Source organism: Homo sapiens, chromosome 19 (genome assembly GCF_000001405.40).
Source record: "Homo sapiens chromosome 19, GRCh38.p14 Primary Assembly".
Taxonomy (NCBI): domain Eukaryota; kingdom Metazoa; phylum Chordata; class Mammalia; order Primates; family Hominidae; genus Homo; species Homo sapiens.
This window is the reverse complement of record NC_000019.10, coordinates 39366590-39382051: the sequence shown is the minus strand read 5'-3', so window position 1 is coordinate 39382051 and position 15462 is coordinate 39366590. Positions and strand designations below refer to the sequence as shown.

At 51.6% G+C, this 15462-nt stretch overlaps 1 protein-coding gene and 1 pseudogene across 48 annotated transcripts in view; both read right to left on the bottom strand.

Moving 5' to 3' along the window:
- The window catches only part of SAMD4B (sterile alpha motif domain containing 4B), a 48344-nt gene that overhangs the window by 8713 nt on the left and 24169 nt on the right, over positions 1-15462 (bottom strand). For 43 of the 48 annotated variants that reach the window (XM_017026919.2, XM_047439027.1, XM_011527057.3 and 40 more), the window contains 9 exons: positions 11927-12397; positions 6163-6402; positions 5506-5615; positions 5261-5347; positions 4228-4567; positions 3463-3548; positions 1968-2086; positions 1267-1465; positions 939-1062 (listed from right to left, as the gene is read on the bottom strand). In XM_017026919.2, coding sequence (XP_016882408.1) covers positions 939-1062; positions 1267-1465; positions 1968-2086; positions 3463-3548; positions 4228-4567; positions 5261-5347; positions 5506-5615; positions 6163-6402; positions 11927-12397 — 1776 coding nt within the window. Of the gene's footprint in view, positions 1-339; positions 428-938; positions 1063-1266; positions 1466-1967; positions 2087-3462; positions 3549-4227; positions 4606-5260; positions 5348-5505; positions 5616-6162; positions 6403-11926; positions 12398-15462 lie in introns of all 48 variants that reach the window. The other 5 variants (NR_169272.1, NR_169273.1, NM_001384595.1 and 2 more) reach the window with 4 other exon arrangements.
- On the bottom strand, positions 12604-12890 carry RN7SL566P (RNA, 7SL, cytoplasmic 566, pseudogene; annotated as a pseudogene).

Here is a 15462-nt window from a genome sequence, read left to right as displayed (position 1 = left end):
TCTGCAGCCCCAGTGGCCAGCACCGTGTGGAGGAGTCAACCCCTCACTTGTTGAGCAGGGCAGGGACCTGCGGTTAGCAAGTCTCTAATCTTCCTTTTGCCCACTTGTCCCAACATCTTTTTGAGATGGGGTCTCACTGTCGCCCTGGCTGCAGTGCAGTGGCACAATCTCTGCTCACTACAGCCTTGACCTCCTGGGCTCAAGCGATCCTCCTGCCTCACCCTCCCGAGTAGCTGGGACTACGGGTGTGTGCCACCATGCCCAGATAATTTCTGTATTTTTTTGTACAGATGGGGTTTCGCCATGTTGTCCAGACTGGTCTCAAACCGATCTACTTGCCTCAGCTTCCCAAAAGTGCTGAAATTACAGGTGTGAGTTACTGTGCCCGCACTTGGCCCAACTTCTGCTCTCCCATCTCCAGGATGGTCTGTAAGCAGAGGTCAAAACAGCCCTCTCACTTCAAACACCTGTTCTAAGAGGTGAAGTCCACTGGTTCCTGTGTGGTCACCTGGCATCTGAAAGAATCCCAGTAGGCTGATGGGCAGGACTCCCCTCCACAGAAATCTCACACTTTAACTGTCCCATCCCCTCAACCCCTTCTAAGTTGAGTATTCAATGATCCTGTAAAGAAAGAGATGATGACAAAGAGCAACACAGACACTAAGATTATGACATAGGGTGGGAAACATGAGATGGGGTAGGAGTAAGGGGTGAGAGATGATGACTCAGAGGGGTGGGGGCAAGACCTGAGAGATAAAATTGAAGCAGAGGAGGAAAACAACCCCCCACAATTGGGGGAGATGGGTGCAGAGTGGTGTGAGGTATGGGGAGAGGTGCCAATGCAGTCTAGAAGAACAGTGGACATGAGACCCAGGAGAAAAAAGAAAGGTCAGCTGAGGATGTTGGCCAGGCAGAGTCCCAAGGGTGGGGCACCTCACCTGGAGGGAACATGAGAATGGCCTGGGGTGACGAGTGGACCGGGAGCGAGTGGGTGCGCTGCACAGAGCTGCGGCTCTGACTGGGCATGCTGTTGCTGCCTCCAGGGTTGGCAAACCACAGGTTCTACACAGGTCCCAGGAAGAGAGAAAGTAGTGAGTGCAGAAGAGGCCCAGACCCAAGAGTGGTGGAGGTGGTACAGGCCTTCTCCCACTCCCACCCCCGCCACCTCTAAGCTGGGTCCAGACACAGAGTATACAGGCAAATAGACATCCCAGGTACTGCCACCCCAACCCCAGGAGGCCAGGCCCCTGCTTCCAGCCAGCTTACCTGTCGGCCCTGGCCTCCAAGGCTGGGGCTGGTGAGGGCATGTCGAGGGGAGACACCCCCAATGCCCGAGGGGCTCAGGAGGCCCATCCGGCCGGGTGGGAGGGCCCGGGGAGGCATTGGGAACTGCCGCTGGGTACGCCGGGCCACTCCCATCCCCACAGAGCCAGCTATGGGGAGCGAGTTGGAGCCGAATGCCCAGCTATGAGAGAGCAGAAGGCAGGGTGTTAATTTACATAGATGGGGCCTATCTGTCCACCCCTTCCTCACCTTCCCCAACAACCCCAAGTTGTAGGAGAGAACATAAACCTCCATCACACATTCTGTCCTCATCTGCCCCAAGGGTACCCCCTGGAAGGAGATGGGACATGTACAAGGGTTTCTTCACTGTCCACTCAAAACAGTTCTCCAATCTTCAATTCTCAAAGGAGACATTTCTGTTATTTGTCTGGTCTAAGGAGGGACTTCCAGGCCCTCTGCATACAGGCGAGGAGCAAGGTACATATGAGGGGCCTGCTCATGGGACATGTGTTGTTTTTCAGCTCAGCATCCTATTCTAGTGGAAATTTTCTTCTGGGAAAGTCGCCCAGTGACTGAATAAAACTAGATTCTCAGCCCAGAACACAATCACCCCTCTAAGCACGATCTGCTAACCAGCAAAGGCCTATGGAGGGCAGGTCCCTGTAACCTGGCCACCCGCCTACCCTTTCTGCTGCCGGTAGTTCTGCATCTCTAGTGCGGCTTTGCGCGGGAATGTCCGGAGGAGCTTCAGCACTTGCTGTTTCCAGGATAGCAGCCGTTTCTTCTGCGTCTCCGTGAAAGCCTAGAATTGGCAGGACACCGGTGAAGCAGAGAGGGTGATGCTTCCTTCAGACCTCCCTTCCAGTCTTCCATTCATTTGTTCAAATATTTATTGCCTGGCCGGGCGTGGTGGCTCAAGCTGTAATCCCAGCACTTTGGGAGGCTGAGGCGGGTGGATCACTTGAGGTCAGGAGTTGGAGACCAGCCTGGACAACATGGTGAAACCCCACCTCTACTAAAAGTACAAAAATTATCCAGGCATGGTAGTGTGTGTCTGTAATCCCAGATACTTGGGAGGCTGAGGCAGGAGAATCACTTGAACCTGGGAGGCGGAGGTTGCAGTGAGCCGAGACTGCGCCATTGCACTCCAGCCTGGGCAACAGAGCGAGACTCTGTTTCCAAAAAAAAGATTCATTGCTCATCTACTCTGTGCCTGTGCCAGGCAATTCTGGGATGCAGAGGTGACCATGCCCAGAGAGCTTACAGTCTGGTTGTGAGGGAAAGATACATACATGATGATAACTGTGACAAATTATCCCTCCCTGAGGGAGAAGAACAGGAAGCAAAAGAAACTTAAATAAAAATGAGGGGTTGGTAAAGGTGTCCCTGAGGTATAAATGTTTGAACTGACAGCTGAGGGGTGAGGAGGAGGAAAGGGTACTGTTGCTGACAAAAGAGTATGTACGGGCTGGGCATGGTTGCTCATGCCTATAATCCCAGTACTTTGGGAGGCCAGGGCAGGGGATCGCTTGAGGCCAGGAGTTCGAGATCAGCCTAGGCAATAAAGCAATACTCCATCTCTAAAAAAGAAAATCGTCACGCCTGTAATCTCAGCACTTTGGGAGGCTGAGGTGGAAGGATCACTTGAGGTCAGTTCAAAACCAGCCAGGGCAACAGTGTGAGACCTCGTCTCTATTAAAAAAAAAAAAAAGAGAGAGAGAGAGGAAGAGTGTGTACAAGGGTTCTGAGAAGAAGCCTCTAAAGCCAACACTGGTAAGATACAAGACTGGAAGGGCTGGCATGTGCCACGTCAGGTAAGGCCCTATGGGCCACATACAACACAATGGTCTTGAGAAAGATGGGGCAGGCTTTCCCTCACTCTGTCGTCCAGGCTGGAGTGCAGTGGCGCGATCTTGGCTCACCACAAGCTCCACCTGCCGGGTTCACGCCATTCTGCCTCAGCCTCCCGCGTAGCTGGGACTGCAGGCACCTGCCACCACGCCCGGCTAATTTTTTGTATTTTTAGTAAAGACTGGGTTTCACTGTGTTAGCCAGGATGGTCTCGATCTCCTGACCTCATGATCCGCCCGCCTCGGTGGCCGAAGTGCTGGGACTACAGGCGTGAACCACCACGCCTGGCCGCCTTTCCCTTTTTGAGTATGCTAGGGAAGGCCTTACCTCATGAGTCAGGCACTTTTCGATGAGCTGGAGGTAACTGGTGATGTTCTCCTCGTCTGGTCGGGACACCAGCAGTTGGGTGCACACTGGGGGGACATGAGAAAGGGCAGGAGGTTAACCCCTAGTATGCCCTCTGCCATGTTCCAGCCTCCAGCTGGCTCGTGCACAAGAAGGAACAGGAGACTCAGGCTGGATGAATATCAACTATTAAGTGCTAGCCATGGTATTTGGGTTATCATGAGGATATACAACATAGTGCCTGACACAATCTTGTCACTACACACATTTTTAGCCTTAGAAACCTAAAGCTCAGAGTTGAGTCACTTGCCTCAGGTCCAGATCCAGATCTAGACTGATCTGGATCCAAGTGTAAAGTCTGCTGTATCATGCTGCTTTAGGAAAGGCTGAAGCTGTGATAAATTTCACCATCCCCATCCCCTGGACTTTGGTCCCCTCTGAGAGAAATCAATGGACTCCCCTCAACTGCTCACCCTTTACTACATGGAATTTCTTCTGACCCACTGCCCCATTTCTGCTCAGCCTGGAGACGCTTTGAGGGGAAGGGCTGTTATCCACCATCAGCCCAGACGTGCCCAAGGGCAAGGGGCCTTGTCACCCTGTCTTGGCTACTCTCTGTAGTGTTCCAGTCTCCAGTAGGCTTTACAAAGCCCTGCTCCCACCATCGAACTTGGATTTGATCCCTGGTGCTTGGGTTCACTTGGCTTTCTGCCTCAGGATTTCCTGCTAGGCTGTGGCTGGTCTCACCTTTGCCCATCACCCGTGTAAACTGGCTGGGGATGTCTCCGTCGGCGACGGGAGCCGGGGCAGGCTCACTGCCATCAGTGGGAGCTGGAGCTGGTGGAGGTGGGTAGTTCTCCACAGCTGGAGGGTCCTTGGCCTCGGTGCCTTTGTCTGTGCCGGGGTGGGCTAGGGGAGGCTCAGCACCTGGCAGCGGTGGTTCCCCCGGGGCCCCATCCTTGGCAGTAGGGGTGGTGGTGGCGGCAGCCACGGTGGCCTGGAGGACACTGTAGGCCTTGATGGGAGTGATGATGATCTGCTGCAGCTCCTGCAGAGCGTTTCGTAGGTTCCCGCCTTCCAGCACATCCTGGATGGGAGGACACAGGCTGGGGTCACATGCAGACCCTACAATGAGGGACAGAGAGTATCTACACAGAGAGTCAGACAGGGCTTGCAGAAGGCTGGGTAGGACCCTGGGTTCCAGCACATAGAGAAGGCATGTAAGGGTACTGCAAGCCCACAAACATATAGGTACACATTTCCTCTTTCCCATTAAGATGAAGTCCCACAGAACTCACGAAAAGCCAGTCTAATGTTGGAGTCTCAAGGACCCAACAAGGATAGAATCAGAGATTCAGACCTAGACACTGAGCAGGGAAAAATACAAACAGAAGGCAGTGGCAAGGAAACGGAATCAGATGTGGAAGGAAAATGAGTTTAGAAACAATCAAATGGAAAGAGAGATTGTACAGACAGAGACACTCTGCTCTACCAGAAAGACCAGTAAGAAATGGAAAAGCAAAAGGGGAGAGAAGGTGTAGAGTCAAAAGACAGAGATCCTGGAACCACAAACCAGGAAAGACAGGGAGGGGAGACTCTTAGCCACCAGCAAGTGAGCCTTTTGATGCCGGCTTGCATGTGGTCCCTGAAGTCTGGGTCCCTAGGGCTGGGAATTTTGGAGGCCACATCCGAGGAGTCTGGAGGCCAACTCAGGGCCTTTGGTCTACTGGTACCACCAAGTGGCTGGCTGGCCTTGAAGATGCAGAAACCAGGTCCTCACCTTCTCTAGGGACTTGAGGACGCTCTGTCTCTCACGCAGCTTCTGGATGCTCAGGGCTATCTTGTGGCGGGCACCTTTGGTGACGTTCTGTGATAAGGGCAGAAGGGGACAGGAAGCTAGAGATGTGAGGCTGAGATATTTGGGGGTACCCAAATAGAGATCAAGGAGACAGAGGAGGCTTGGGCTGCAAGGATGCCAAACTAGCGCTGCCCCCAGCACCTCCCTGATGGTCCCCTTGGCTTCACCTGAGACTCCAGGTGCTGCTCAGTCAGTGTCATCATCTCCTCGTAGCTCATCTGTGAGAAGAGGGCTGCATACTTGTGCAAACGGAGGCTCTTGAGCCATGAGGGCACATCTTTGGCAAAGGAGGGAGAGTGAAAGGTCAGGAGTTTGGCCCAGATTACCAGGGTAAAGGAAAAGTTGTGGGGATAAACCCACAGGAAGCCTCAAAAGATGCAAAAAATTGGGAGGGGGTTGGGGGGAGCTAAGGTTCCATCAGCTCCTTCTTCATCTGCCTAGCCAGACCCTCAGGCAGCCTTCCCTGGGAAGGACATCTGACCCTTCTAAGCTGCTAGGCTGGATGTATACCAGGATGACCTCACTGATTGCTCCAAAACTCTTGCTGGAACCTCTGTTCCATCACTTAGCTGTGTCCTGGCTTCCTTGTCAGACTGGGGTGTGTGAAGACAGGGGGCTCCTTCCCAGTCAGACTAGAACTTGTTAGGGTAGATGTGGGGTCTCTCTGCTTAGTCCTGAGCCCTAAAAGCAGGGACTATCTACTCCCCTCAGACATGTCCCCTCCTCAGAGGGGTAAGCAGGTGTCAGCTACAAGCTCCTTTCTGTCCTCTAAGCTCTGCAGAAGCCCCTGGAAAAGGGTCCTGGTGCTGCTGTCCCCAATGTACCTTTCATGCCACTGCCATCCTCCTGGAAGGTGTTCCGGCTGGAGCCCTGCTCCTCTGTCTGCTCACTGCCAGAGGAGGCCACGCTGCTCTGGGGCGAGAGAGGTGCGTGATCGGGCGTGGTAAAAGCAGCCCGGGCCCCAAGCTCCTCTGGACTCGGCCACTCACCAGGGACCTGGGGGCTTGTAGGGATGAGTGACATGGAGCGCTTCAGTGGGCTAGGGTGGATTTGGCAGGGGAGACCTGGCCAGAGTGGGAGAAAAGCAAAATATTAGACCTGGGGACCCAACCACAGGAGACCATCCCCCTGCCGTCAGTGCCAGGATGGCAGTTTGGCCCCATAACCTGCCAAGAGGAAGGGACCTGGGGTCCAAGGGTAACTGCCTACCAGATATACCTCATTCTCTTACCTCCAACACCCAACCCATCAGCAAGCTGTCAGCCACTTTCCTGAATTTCTCCAGTTCCGCTGGCTCAAGCCACCAGCACCCCTGGCAGGAATTACTGCCACAGCCTCCTCATTGGTTTCCTGCCTTCACTCTTGCCTCCTACAGTCCACGCCCCTCACAACAGCCATAAAGGTCCTTCTAAAAATGCAAATCTGACCGAGCCTGACTCCTGCTCAAATCCCTGTGACTTCCTTTCATAGTGGGAACAAAATACAAATGCTTCCACATGCCTAAAAGGCCATGCAGGACCTGGCCCCTGTTCCTCTCCCACAACCCACCACTTGGTTCATGCCTCTCTAGCCTTTGCCTCCTCCCAAACTCCCCTTTGTTCCTGAAACACTCAAGGTTGTTCCAGCCTCAGGACTTCTGGACTTGCTCTTTCTTCCTACCTTCTTGATCTCAGCGGTTGGCTCCCTCAAGTCTCATCTCAAGTGTCGCCTCCTCTGAGGCCTACCCTGAACCCTTAATCTGAAGTCACTGCCCACCTCTGCTGCCCCAATCCGTCACTCTATCACATTACTGTCTTGTCTTTCTTACAGCACCCATCACAACCTGAAATTATCAAGTTATTTGTTTATTTTTTTAAAAATTTATTTACTTTTTTGAGATGGAGTCTTGCTCTGTCACTAGGCCAGAGTGCAGTGGCACGATCTGGGCTCACTGCAACCTCTGCCTCCTGGGTTCAAGCAATTCCCCTGCCTCAGCCTCCCGAGTAGCTGGGACTACAGATGCCTGCCACCATGCTCAGCTAATTTTTTTGTATTTTAGTAGAGGCGGGGTTTCACCACATTGGCCAGGATGGTCTCAATCTCCTGACCTCGTGATCCGCCCACCTCAGCCTCCTAAAGTGCTGGGATTACAGGCGTGAGCCACTGCGCCCAGCCTGTTTACTTATTAACTACACCCCCTGCTAGAATAGAAGACCTGTGACAGCAGAAACCTGTCCCATCTTAAACATCATTATATCTTGTAATGAATGAAGTACGTAAGCTGCTTCCTCAACAACCCTGTTATGGGGCCTCACTACCTCCCATTTTTTTTCTGCAGTGAGCCCAAACTGGCCACTCATGAGGCCTGGTGACTCAGGGTGATCCCAGGTCCTCTTCTGAAGGATGCTCCATACCCTCTGTCCATCCCAAGTCTGAGGTTGGCAAAGGAATCCAACTTGATTTTTTTTTTTGAGATGGAGTTTTGCTCTGTCGCCGAGTGCGGTGGTGCAATCTTGGCTCACTGCAACCTCCACCTCCTGGGTTCAAGCGATTCTCCTGCCTCAGCCTCCCGAGTAGCTGGGACTACGGGTGGCCAACACCATGCCCAGCTAATGTTTTTCGTATTTTTAGTAGAGACAGGGTTTCACTATATTGGTCAGGCTGGTCTCAAACTCCTGACCTCAGGTGATCCACCTGCCTTGGCCTCCCAAAGTGCTGGGATTACAGGCGTAAGCCACCTGTGCCTGGTCATATATATATATATTTTTTAGAGATGGAATTTCACTCTTGTGGCCTAGCCTGGAGTGCAGTGGCACAATCTCGGCTCACTGCAACCTCTGCCTCCCGGGTTCAAGCAATTCTCCTGCCTCAGCCTCCTGAGTAGCTGGCATTACAGGCACCCACCACCACGCCTGGCTAATTTTGTATTTTTTTAGTAGAGACGGGGGTTTCTCCATGTTGCTTAGGCTGGTCTTGAACTCCCGACCTCAGGTGATCCGCCTGCCTTGGCCTCCCAAAGTGCTGAGATTACAGGTGTGAGCCACCATGCCTGGCCTCCAACTTGATTTTTAACCACTCCCAAGACAGGGCAGGTTCCCATGAGCTCCCAGACCTTTATCTGTGCTTTTTCCTCTGCCTCGCTCACCTCGCCAACTCTTCTCCATCAGCCACTTCTCCCTTCATGCCTCGGTCATGTACCCCTCTGCTGCTGCCTCAGGCCTGGCGCTTGCTGCCCTCCTCACTAGCCTCCCTCTTGCTTGCTGCCCTCCTCACTAGCCTCCCTCTTGCACTGGACTGTGGGTCCATGGAGAATGGCAGCCCAGTCCAATTACTTCTGCAATCCCATGATCAGGCACAGGGCATGACACACAGAAGTCCTTCCAACGAAGTTTCATAAAGGACAAAAGGGTGCTAAGAGGGCCTCTGAGCTCCACCTATGGCATCCAGAAGTACCCCAAGTCAGCCTAGACAAAAAGAAATGAAACAAAGCCAACGAGCCTCACCCTGGGTAGGTGAGGACATCAAGGCCCAGGGAGCTGAAGCCCTTTGCCCCAGTTCCCACGGGAGTTGACAGGCTGAGACAGAGCCCAAGCCTTGTTTCTGATGGAAAGGCTGGGGTTCCTGCCAGTGCTACAGTGACACCCAGCCCAGGAAGGAGGGCTAGCCTGGTGCAGGCCCCAGAGCATCTTCCCTCAGCTGTGACAATACTAATGCTCCTGGCTAGGAAGTCACCTAAGGGACAGGGCAAGGCAGTGGCCCACCCTTAATACCAGTTTCTGCCCTACCCCAGAGTGTCCAGGGTCCTCTTCCCAGGAGTTCTTCAGCCTCTAGACTCCCTCAGCCCTGGCTTCTGTCCCCACTCAGCACTCTTGGGGAACATGGCACACTCTGGGCCCTGGGGGACTGGGGAATCCTCAAGACAGGCCTTTTTGCCTGTTTTGGTGTCTCTGGCCTCCTTCTTTCTCCCTTCTCAGCCAAGAAGTAGGCAGGAGAGGCTGAGAGGCAGGAAATTACCCTGACTGGAATGATCGTGCAGTTCCTGAGGAGCCCTGCTTGGCTCCGCACTGGGGTGGAGGCTGGCCACAGCATGAGAATGACAAAAACAAGAATGCCGGCCAGAGATCCAGGGCCTTGCACTCTCCAAGAAATCCTGATCTGTTCTTGGCAGCACCCCAAACCCAAGCTGCCTGCCCTCAAAGGCCAATCCTTGCTCCCCACTCAAAAATATTTTAATGATTTCCTGTTTCCTGCAACTGCCTGGAATCCAAAAGCTTCTCCTGTCCTTCAACGCCCCCCAGAATGTAGCCTTCACACACTGAGGTCTGAGGGTAAAGACAGGCCTGAGTTCAAATCCTGACTCTGACTCTGTCGCCTCTGTGTGATCTTGGGCAAGTCACTTCATTCACCTCTCTGCCTCCATTTCTGCATGAAGTCCTTAGCAGAGGGATAGGCACACGGTAAGCACAAGTCTCTGCTACTGTTATTACTCATTCGAATCCACCCCAGCCAGATCTGTCTGTATACTGTCCCCTCTAATTATCCACCCCGTGCTTATTTCATGCTGTGCCTTCTACTTGGAATGCCCAATTCCTTTTCCTCTTTTGGTCCAAACCCCTATCAACATTGTTCAATCTTCATCCTTTAATGGCTGCTGGGGTACCCATGATGGGGAGCACAAAAGGTATGAAGACAAAGAAATTTATAGGCACCCTGCCTGGGTGACCCCTCCCCTTGGTGAGGGATGAGCATCTCCAGGAGAGGTACTTTTTGGTGGAGGTAGTGTAGCATAGTAGTTCAGAGTATGAAGTCTATAGTCAGAATGCCTGGCTTTAAACCTTGAGTTTATATGTATAAAGTTCTTAGAATAGCTCCTAGTAAAGACTAAGCACTCGATGTGTGTTTTTGTTTTTTTTTTTTTGAGATGGGGTCTCGCTCTGTTGCCCTGGCTGGAATGCAATGGCAAGATCTCGGCTCACTGCCACCTCCACCTCCTGGGTTCAAGCGACCTTCCTGCCTCAGCCCCCCGAGTAACTGGAATTATAGGCATGCACCACCATACCCAGCTAATTTTTATATTTTTAGTAGAGATGAGGTTTCACCATGTTGGTCAGGCTGGTCTCGAACTCCTGACCTCAGGTGATCTGCCTGCCTCGGCCTCCCAAAGTGCTGGGATTACAGGCGTGAGCCACCATGCCCGGACTAGCACTCAATATTTTTTGCCTAGAATGATCATTATTAATACATCCTCCCATCCTGGAACTGTGATGCTCCATGACTGGAAAATGAGGTCCAAGACACCTCAGGTTGCTAAGTTTCCTGAAACTGCCCTTCTATCCCTCTATCTTCCCAGGTTCTCACCAGCAACTGGGAGGGAGGCAGATGGACCAGAATAGCCACACTAACTGGGGGAAAAACAGGCTCAAGGAATAACTGATGAGCACCAGGTACCAGACAGCGGGGCATTAGGGACCCGAGGTTACCCCCACCCACTGACACATGTGACATTTCACTGTCACTCTCTCTTGTCTTGCTTTAAACCAGTGCCTGCTGAAGGTGACTAGCTACTCTGAGGTTTACATCATGAACCCTCTCCCTCACCCTGGGTCAGGTCATGCTGCCTTACCATGGCTTGGAAAATCCACCCTCCCTTATCCTGTGCATTTCAAAAAGTCACTGGGATACCAACAACTTCTGCTCACTCCCGCCTGCAGGGCTTTTACTAAGAGAGCTCTTTCAAACCTGCTTAGTTGGCAGGACAGTGTAGTGGTCAGAGGCAGGCTCTGCCATCAGACTGGTTGGGTCTGTTCCACCACTTGTTCTACGTGTGACTTTGAACACATCACTTCACCTCTGAGTCCCGATGTCCTCATCTGTTGAATAGGGCTAATGATACGGTTGTGATGCGGACTGAGATCATACCTGAAAAGTGTCTATAAAAGAGTACCTAGCATAGTCAATGCTGAAAAATGCTACCTACTATTACAAATACCTTGCAGCATGAGTTTTGTCTTATACAGACAGTGTTCTCAGAAACAAAGCTGTAAAGTGAGGCCAGATACATAAAATCCATAATGTTGTCTGAACTGGAAGGGATCTCAGATGATGGTATGCACACCTCCATCAAGCGTCATAGCCTGATGCCCTTAGAGGCCAGGTATATATCAGAAATGCCCAAAGGGGGGTTGGTGGGAGCAGAGGCAGACTAGGGCACTTGTGCAGGGTCTAAAGGGCATGCTCAACATTAAGCTCTATATTATTGCTGCCACTAGGAAAACAGATCTTGTTGAGTTGCTAGATCTTTTGACTTCTCAAGAAAGGCTGGAAATCTCATTTTTAGGGAAAAATTCTTGATTCTTTGTACCACTCACATTTATTTAAAAACCCAACACAACAAAATAAAACCAAACCAAAGTATGGGTTCAATAAGACATGTCTGTAGGTCAGATTCAGCTCTGGGAAAGCCAGTTCACAGCCTCTGCATTGCCTCATAAAGTTGAGGCCTACAGCTTATGTGACTTGTCTAATGCCACAGAGCGAGAGAGCTCTCACTGAGCCTAGTCCAACCTTTTTCAAGTAGGCATGGCCTTCTGGGACACCCCCGCCACTTACCTGTGTTTGCATTGCTCCCAATACTGTTGATGGCTGGCGGCACTGAGCTGGATGGGTGGAAGGGCACGTGTCCATTTTCCCGGGGTGGCTTGTCCTGCCAGCCTGGCCCTGCCTCCCCAGGGCCTAGCTCTGCAGGGCCCCCCCACTCATCTGAGCCTTGACGTGAATGGTAGGAGGGCTCTGGCCGGGAGCGGAAGCCACTAGCCAACCGCTCTTCCAGGTGGCTCAGCCAGAGGGCCAGTGCGTTGCGGTCCTCCAGTGTGGTGGCTGGGTGGATGAGGGCATAGGAAAGCAGCTGGCGACTCTCCTCGATGAAAGCATTGCTCTCGATTGAGTAGGCCAGCACTTTCTGCAGTAGCCTCATGTACTCCGACTTGGCCTCTGTGTTGCCTGGCTGAAGCAGGGGAAGGTGGGACAGCAGGAGGGACACCACCTTCTCTTTGGACTCCTGCTGCCACTGGCTGACGATGGCTACAGAAGGGATAAGAAGAAATATCAGGAGAGCCAGGGTGGGGTACTCCTATTCACCTGAGAGCACTGCCTATGGCCTATTCCCTCAGCTCCAATCTTCTTTTCATAACGATTTTCTTTTCATAACTCCCAAACTTATCCCTCATATAGGTGAGATCAAACACACTGACCCTGCCTCTGGAGTAATTTTTGTCTTATTTTTTTTAAGAGATGGGGTCTCACTATGTTGCCCAGGCTGCAGTGCAGTGGCTATTCACAAGTGCAATCCCACTATTGATCAGCACGGGAGTTTTGACCTGCTCCATTTCCAAACTGGGCCAGTTCACCCCTCCTTAGGCAACCTGGTGGTCCCCCACTCCTAGGAGGTCACCATACTGGGGCCACACTTAGTGCAGACACCCAATCAGCATAGCACACTATAGCCCAGAACTCCTGGACTCAGGCAATCCTCTTGCCTCAGCCTCCCAAGTAGCTGGTACTACAGTCATGTGCCCACCACAGCTGGTGTAGAGTAATTTTTCTTTGTTCTATCACTCCTGTTCTCAGAAACCTGCAGTGCCTCCCAATCAGCCAAACTTGCTACTCTGGAATCTGAACAACTCCTGTCCCCAGGCCTGCTCTCATGCTTTATCTCCATGACTCCTTCCTCCATTCTTCATGGCCTCTATGCCATTTCCCCTGCCAAAAAGCAGTCTCCTTCCTGAATGGAGAAGGCAGTGGTATATGGTAGTTAAAAGCTTGGGCTCTGGAATCAGATGGTCTAGACACCCCAGCTTACTAGCTAGATCTTGGTAAGCTACCTTGAACCTCATGGAGCACTAAATTATCTGCGAAATTTTGGAGATAATTACAGTACCCAATTCACAGTGTTGCTTTGAGATTCAATGAGCTAGCAAAGAACACAAAGTGGTTTGGCGACATAATAAATGCTTGCTATTGTTTTTTAACTGGTCTCTCTGCTTCTAGATTCTCCCCTTCCAATCGATCCCATACATCCAGATGCATTTATCTTCCTAAATCACAACAGGATGTCATGTTCCTGACCAGGAGTTTATAATGGCAACCAGCAAGCACCAACAGACTCAAGTCCAAGAACTCCTAGCCTAACATCACCTTCATTTCCAGGGCACCCTCCATCTCCCATTCCTCCAGATAAAGACTCAGCTCAGGATATCTCCCCATCTTCCTTGGGGTTCTCTCCACAGTATGTATTTATCCAAGCTCCACACCTTGGCTGAGATTCAAGGTTTTGGCCCGCAACAACCTCCTTCCTCCTATACAAATTCTCTTTTGTAGATGGCCTAACTTACTACCTTCCTCCAGGAAGCATTCCCTGGCTGTTCCATGTCATGGTCATCTTGACCTCTCCTTTCTATCCCACTGTGTGAGGACCTGAGTCTACCCTGTGGAGATAAGCCAGGTTTCCCTTTTCTTTTTTTTTGAGGCGGAGTCTCGCTCTGTCGCCCAGGCTGGAGTGCAGTGGCGCGATCTTGGCTCACTGCAAGCTCCACCTTCTGAGTTCATGCCATTCTACTGCCTCAGCCTCCCGAGTAGCTGGGACTACAGGCGCCCACCACCACGCCCAGCTTATTTTTTGTATTTTTAGTAGAGACAGGGTTTCACCGCATTAGCCAAGATGGTCTCGATCTCCTGACCTCGTGATCCACCCGCCTCAGCCTCCCAAAGTGCTGGGATTACAGGCGTGAGCCACTGCGCCCGGCCTCAGGTTTCCCCTTTCAACCCACAAGGGAGGTCCCTAAGAATATGGCCCCAGGCTGGCCACATCAAAGAAGGCTTGGGTAGGAACTGTTACAAGTCTGACTCTCCCCCTCAAAGACCTTATTAGCACTGGGCGTGGTGGCTCACGCCTGTAATCCCAGCACTCTGGGAGGCTGAGGCAGGTGGATCACCTGAGGTCAGGAGCTGGAGACCAGCCTGGCCGACATGGTGAAAGCCTGTCTCTACTAAAAATACAAAAATTAACCGGGCATGGTGGTGGATGCCTGTAATTCCAGCTACTTGGGAGGCTGAGGCAGGAGAATCACTTGAACTCGGGAGGTGGAGGTTGCAGTGAGCCGAGATCGCGCCACTGCACTCCAGCCTGGGGGCAAAGTGAGACTCCGTCTCAAAAAAAAAAAAAAAAAAAAGAAAAAGAAAAAAAAAACCTCATTAGCACTTCTGTGACTAGCTAAACAGGGTGGAAGATGGAGATAATGCTGACAGGACAAGGAGAGGGACAAAAAATACCAATACTTGGGAAAAGAGACAAAGATTTAGGTCTGAGGCCAACTACGCTCTCACCCTTGGGCAACTGAGCTCACATCTGTAGCCAAGGTGATGACTTACAAATATCTCACAAAGGAGTTCTGAGAGATGTGCTAATGGTGAGGTCTTGGAAATGGGCAAAGGAGCTGGCTCTAACCAGACAGAGCTAGGACCCCAAAGGAGTGGGTGATGAAAAGGAATAGGCAGAGATGTGGCATATGTCCCTTTACCACCACTTACTGGCCATGTGACTCTGGGCAAGTGTGATCACTTCACTGAGCTCTATTTTCTCTATCTGTAAAGTGGAGCCCAGAATCATTCCTACCTGGCATGGCTGCTATGAATTATGTGAGGCCACAGCATAGAGTAAGTCCTCAGTAAACACTAGCTGCTTTTACTAGTATTGTGGTTATTATATCTCACTGTGTCTCCCTCCTTTCAGATACACACAGAGATTCTAAAGGCACAAGCCAAATCTCTGGGCCCAGGAAACCAAGAGGCTAGGAATAAGCACCTATAAGGAAAGTCTTGGAAACCTAGACATCTGAGGGTCTTTCAACCCAAGTTCCTTAGGCCTTTACGATTCCAAGGACATCTAGCATGCTTCAGGATTGACTTAAAAAAAAAGTTCCATGGACTTCTGGTCTCCTCTGCCCACACTGAAGGATGGACACCTGGCCTTGCATACAAACTCAGAAATGCCCTGTCTGTAGCCCTATTTCTCTTAATGATCCCCTTAGAACTCTGTGGCCTAGAATTCACATACACTCCTAATTCTGCTTAAGTTTGTAGCCTTAGGA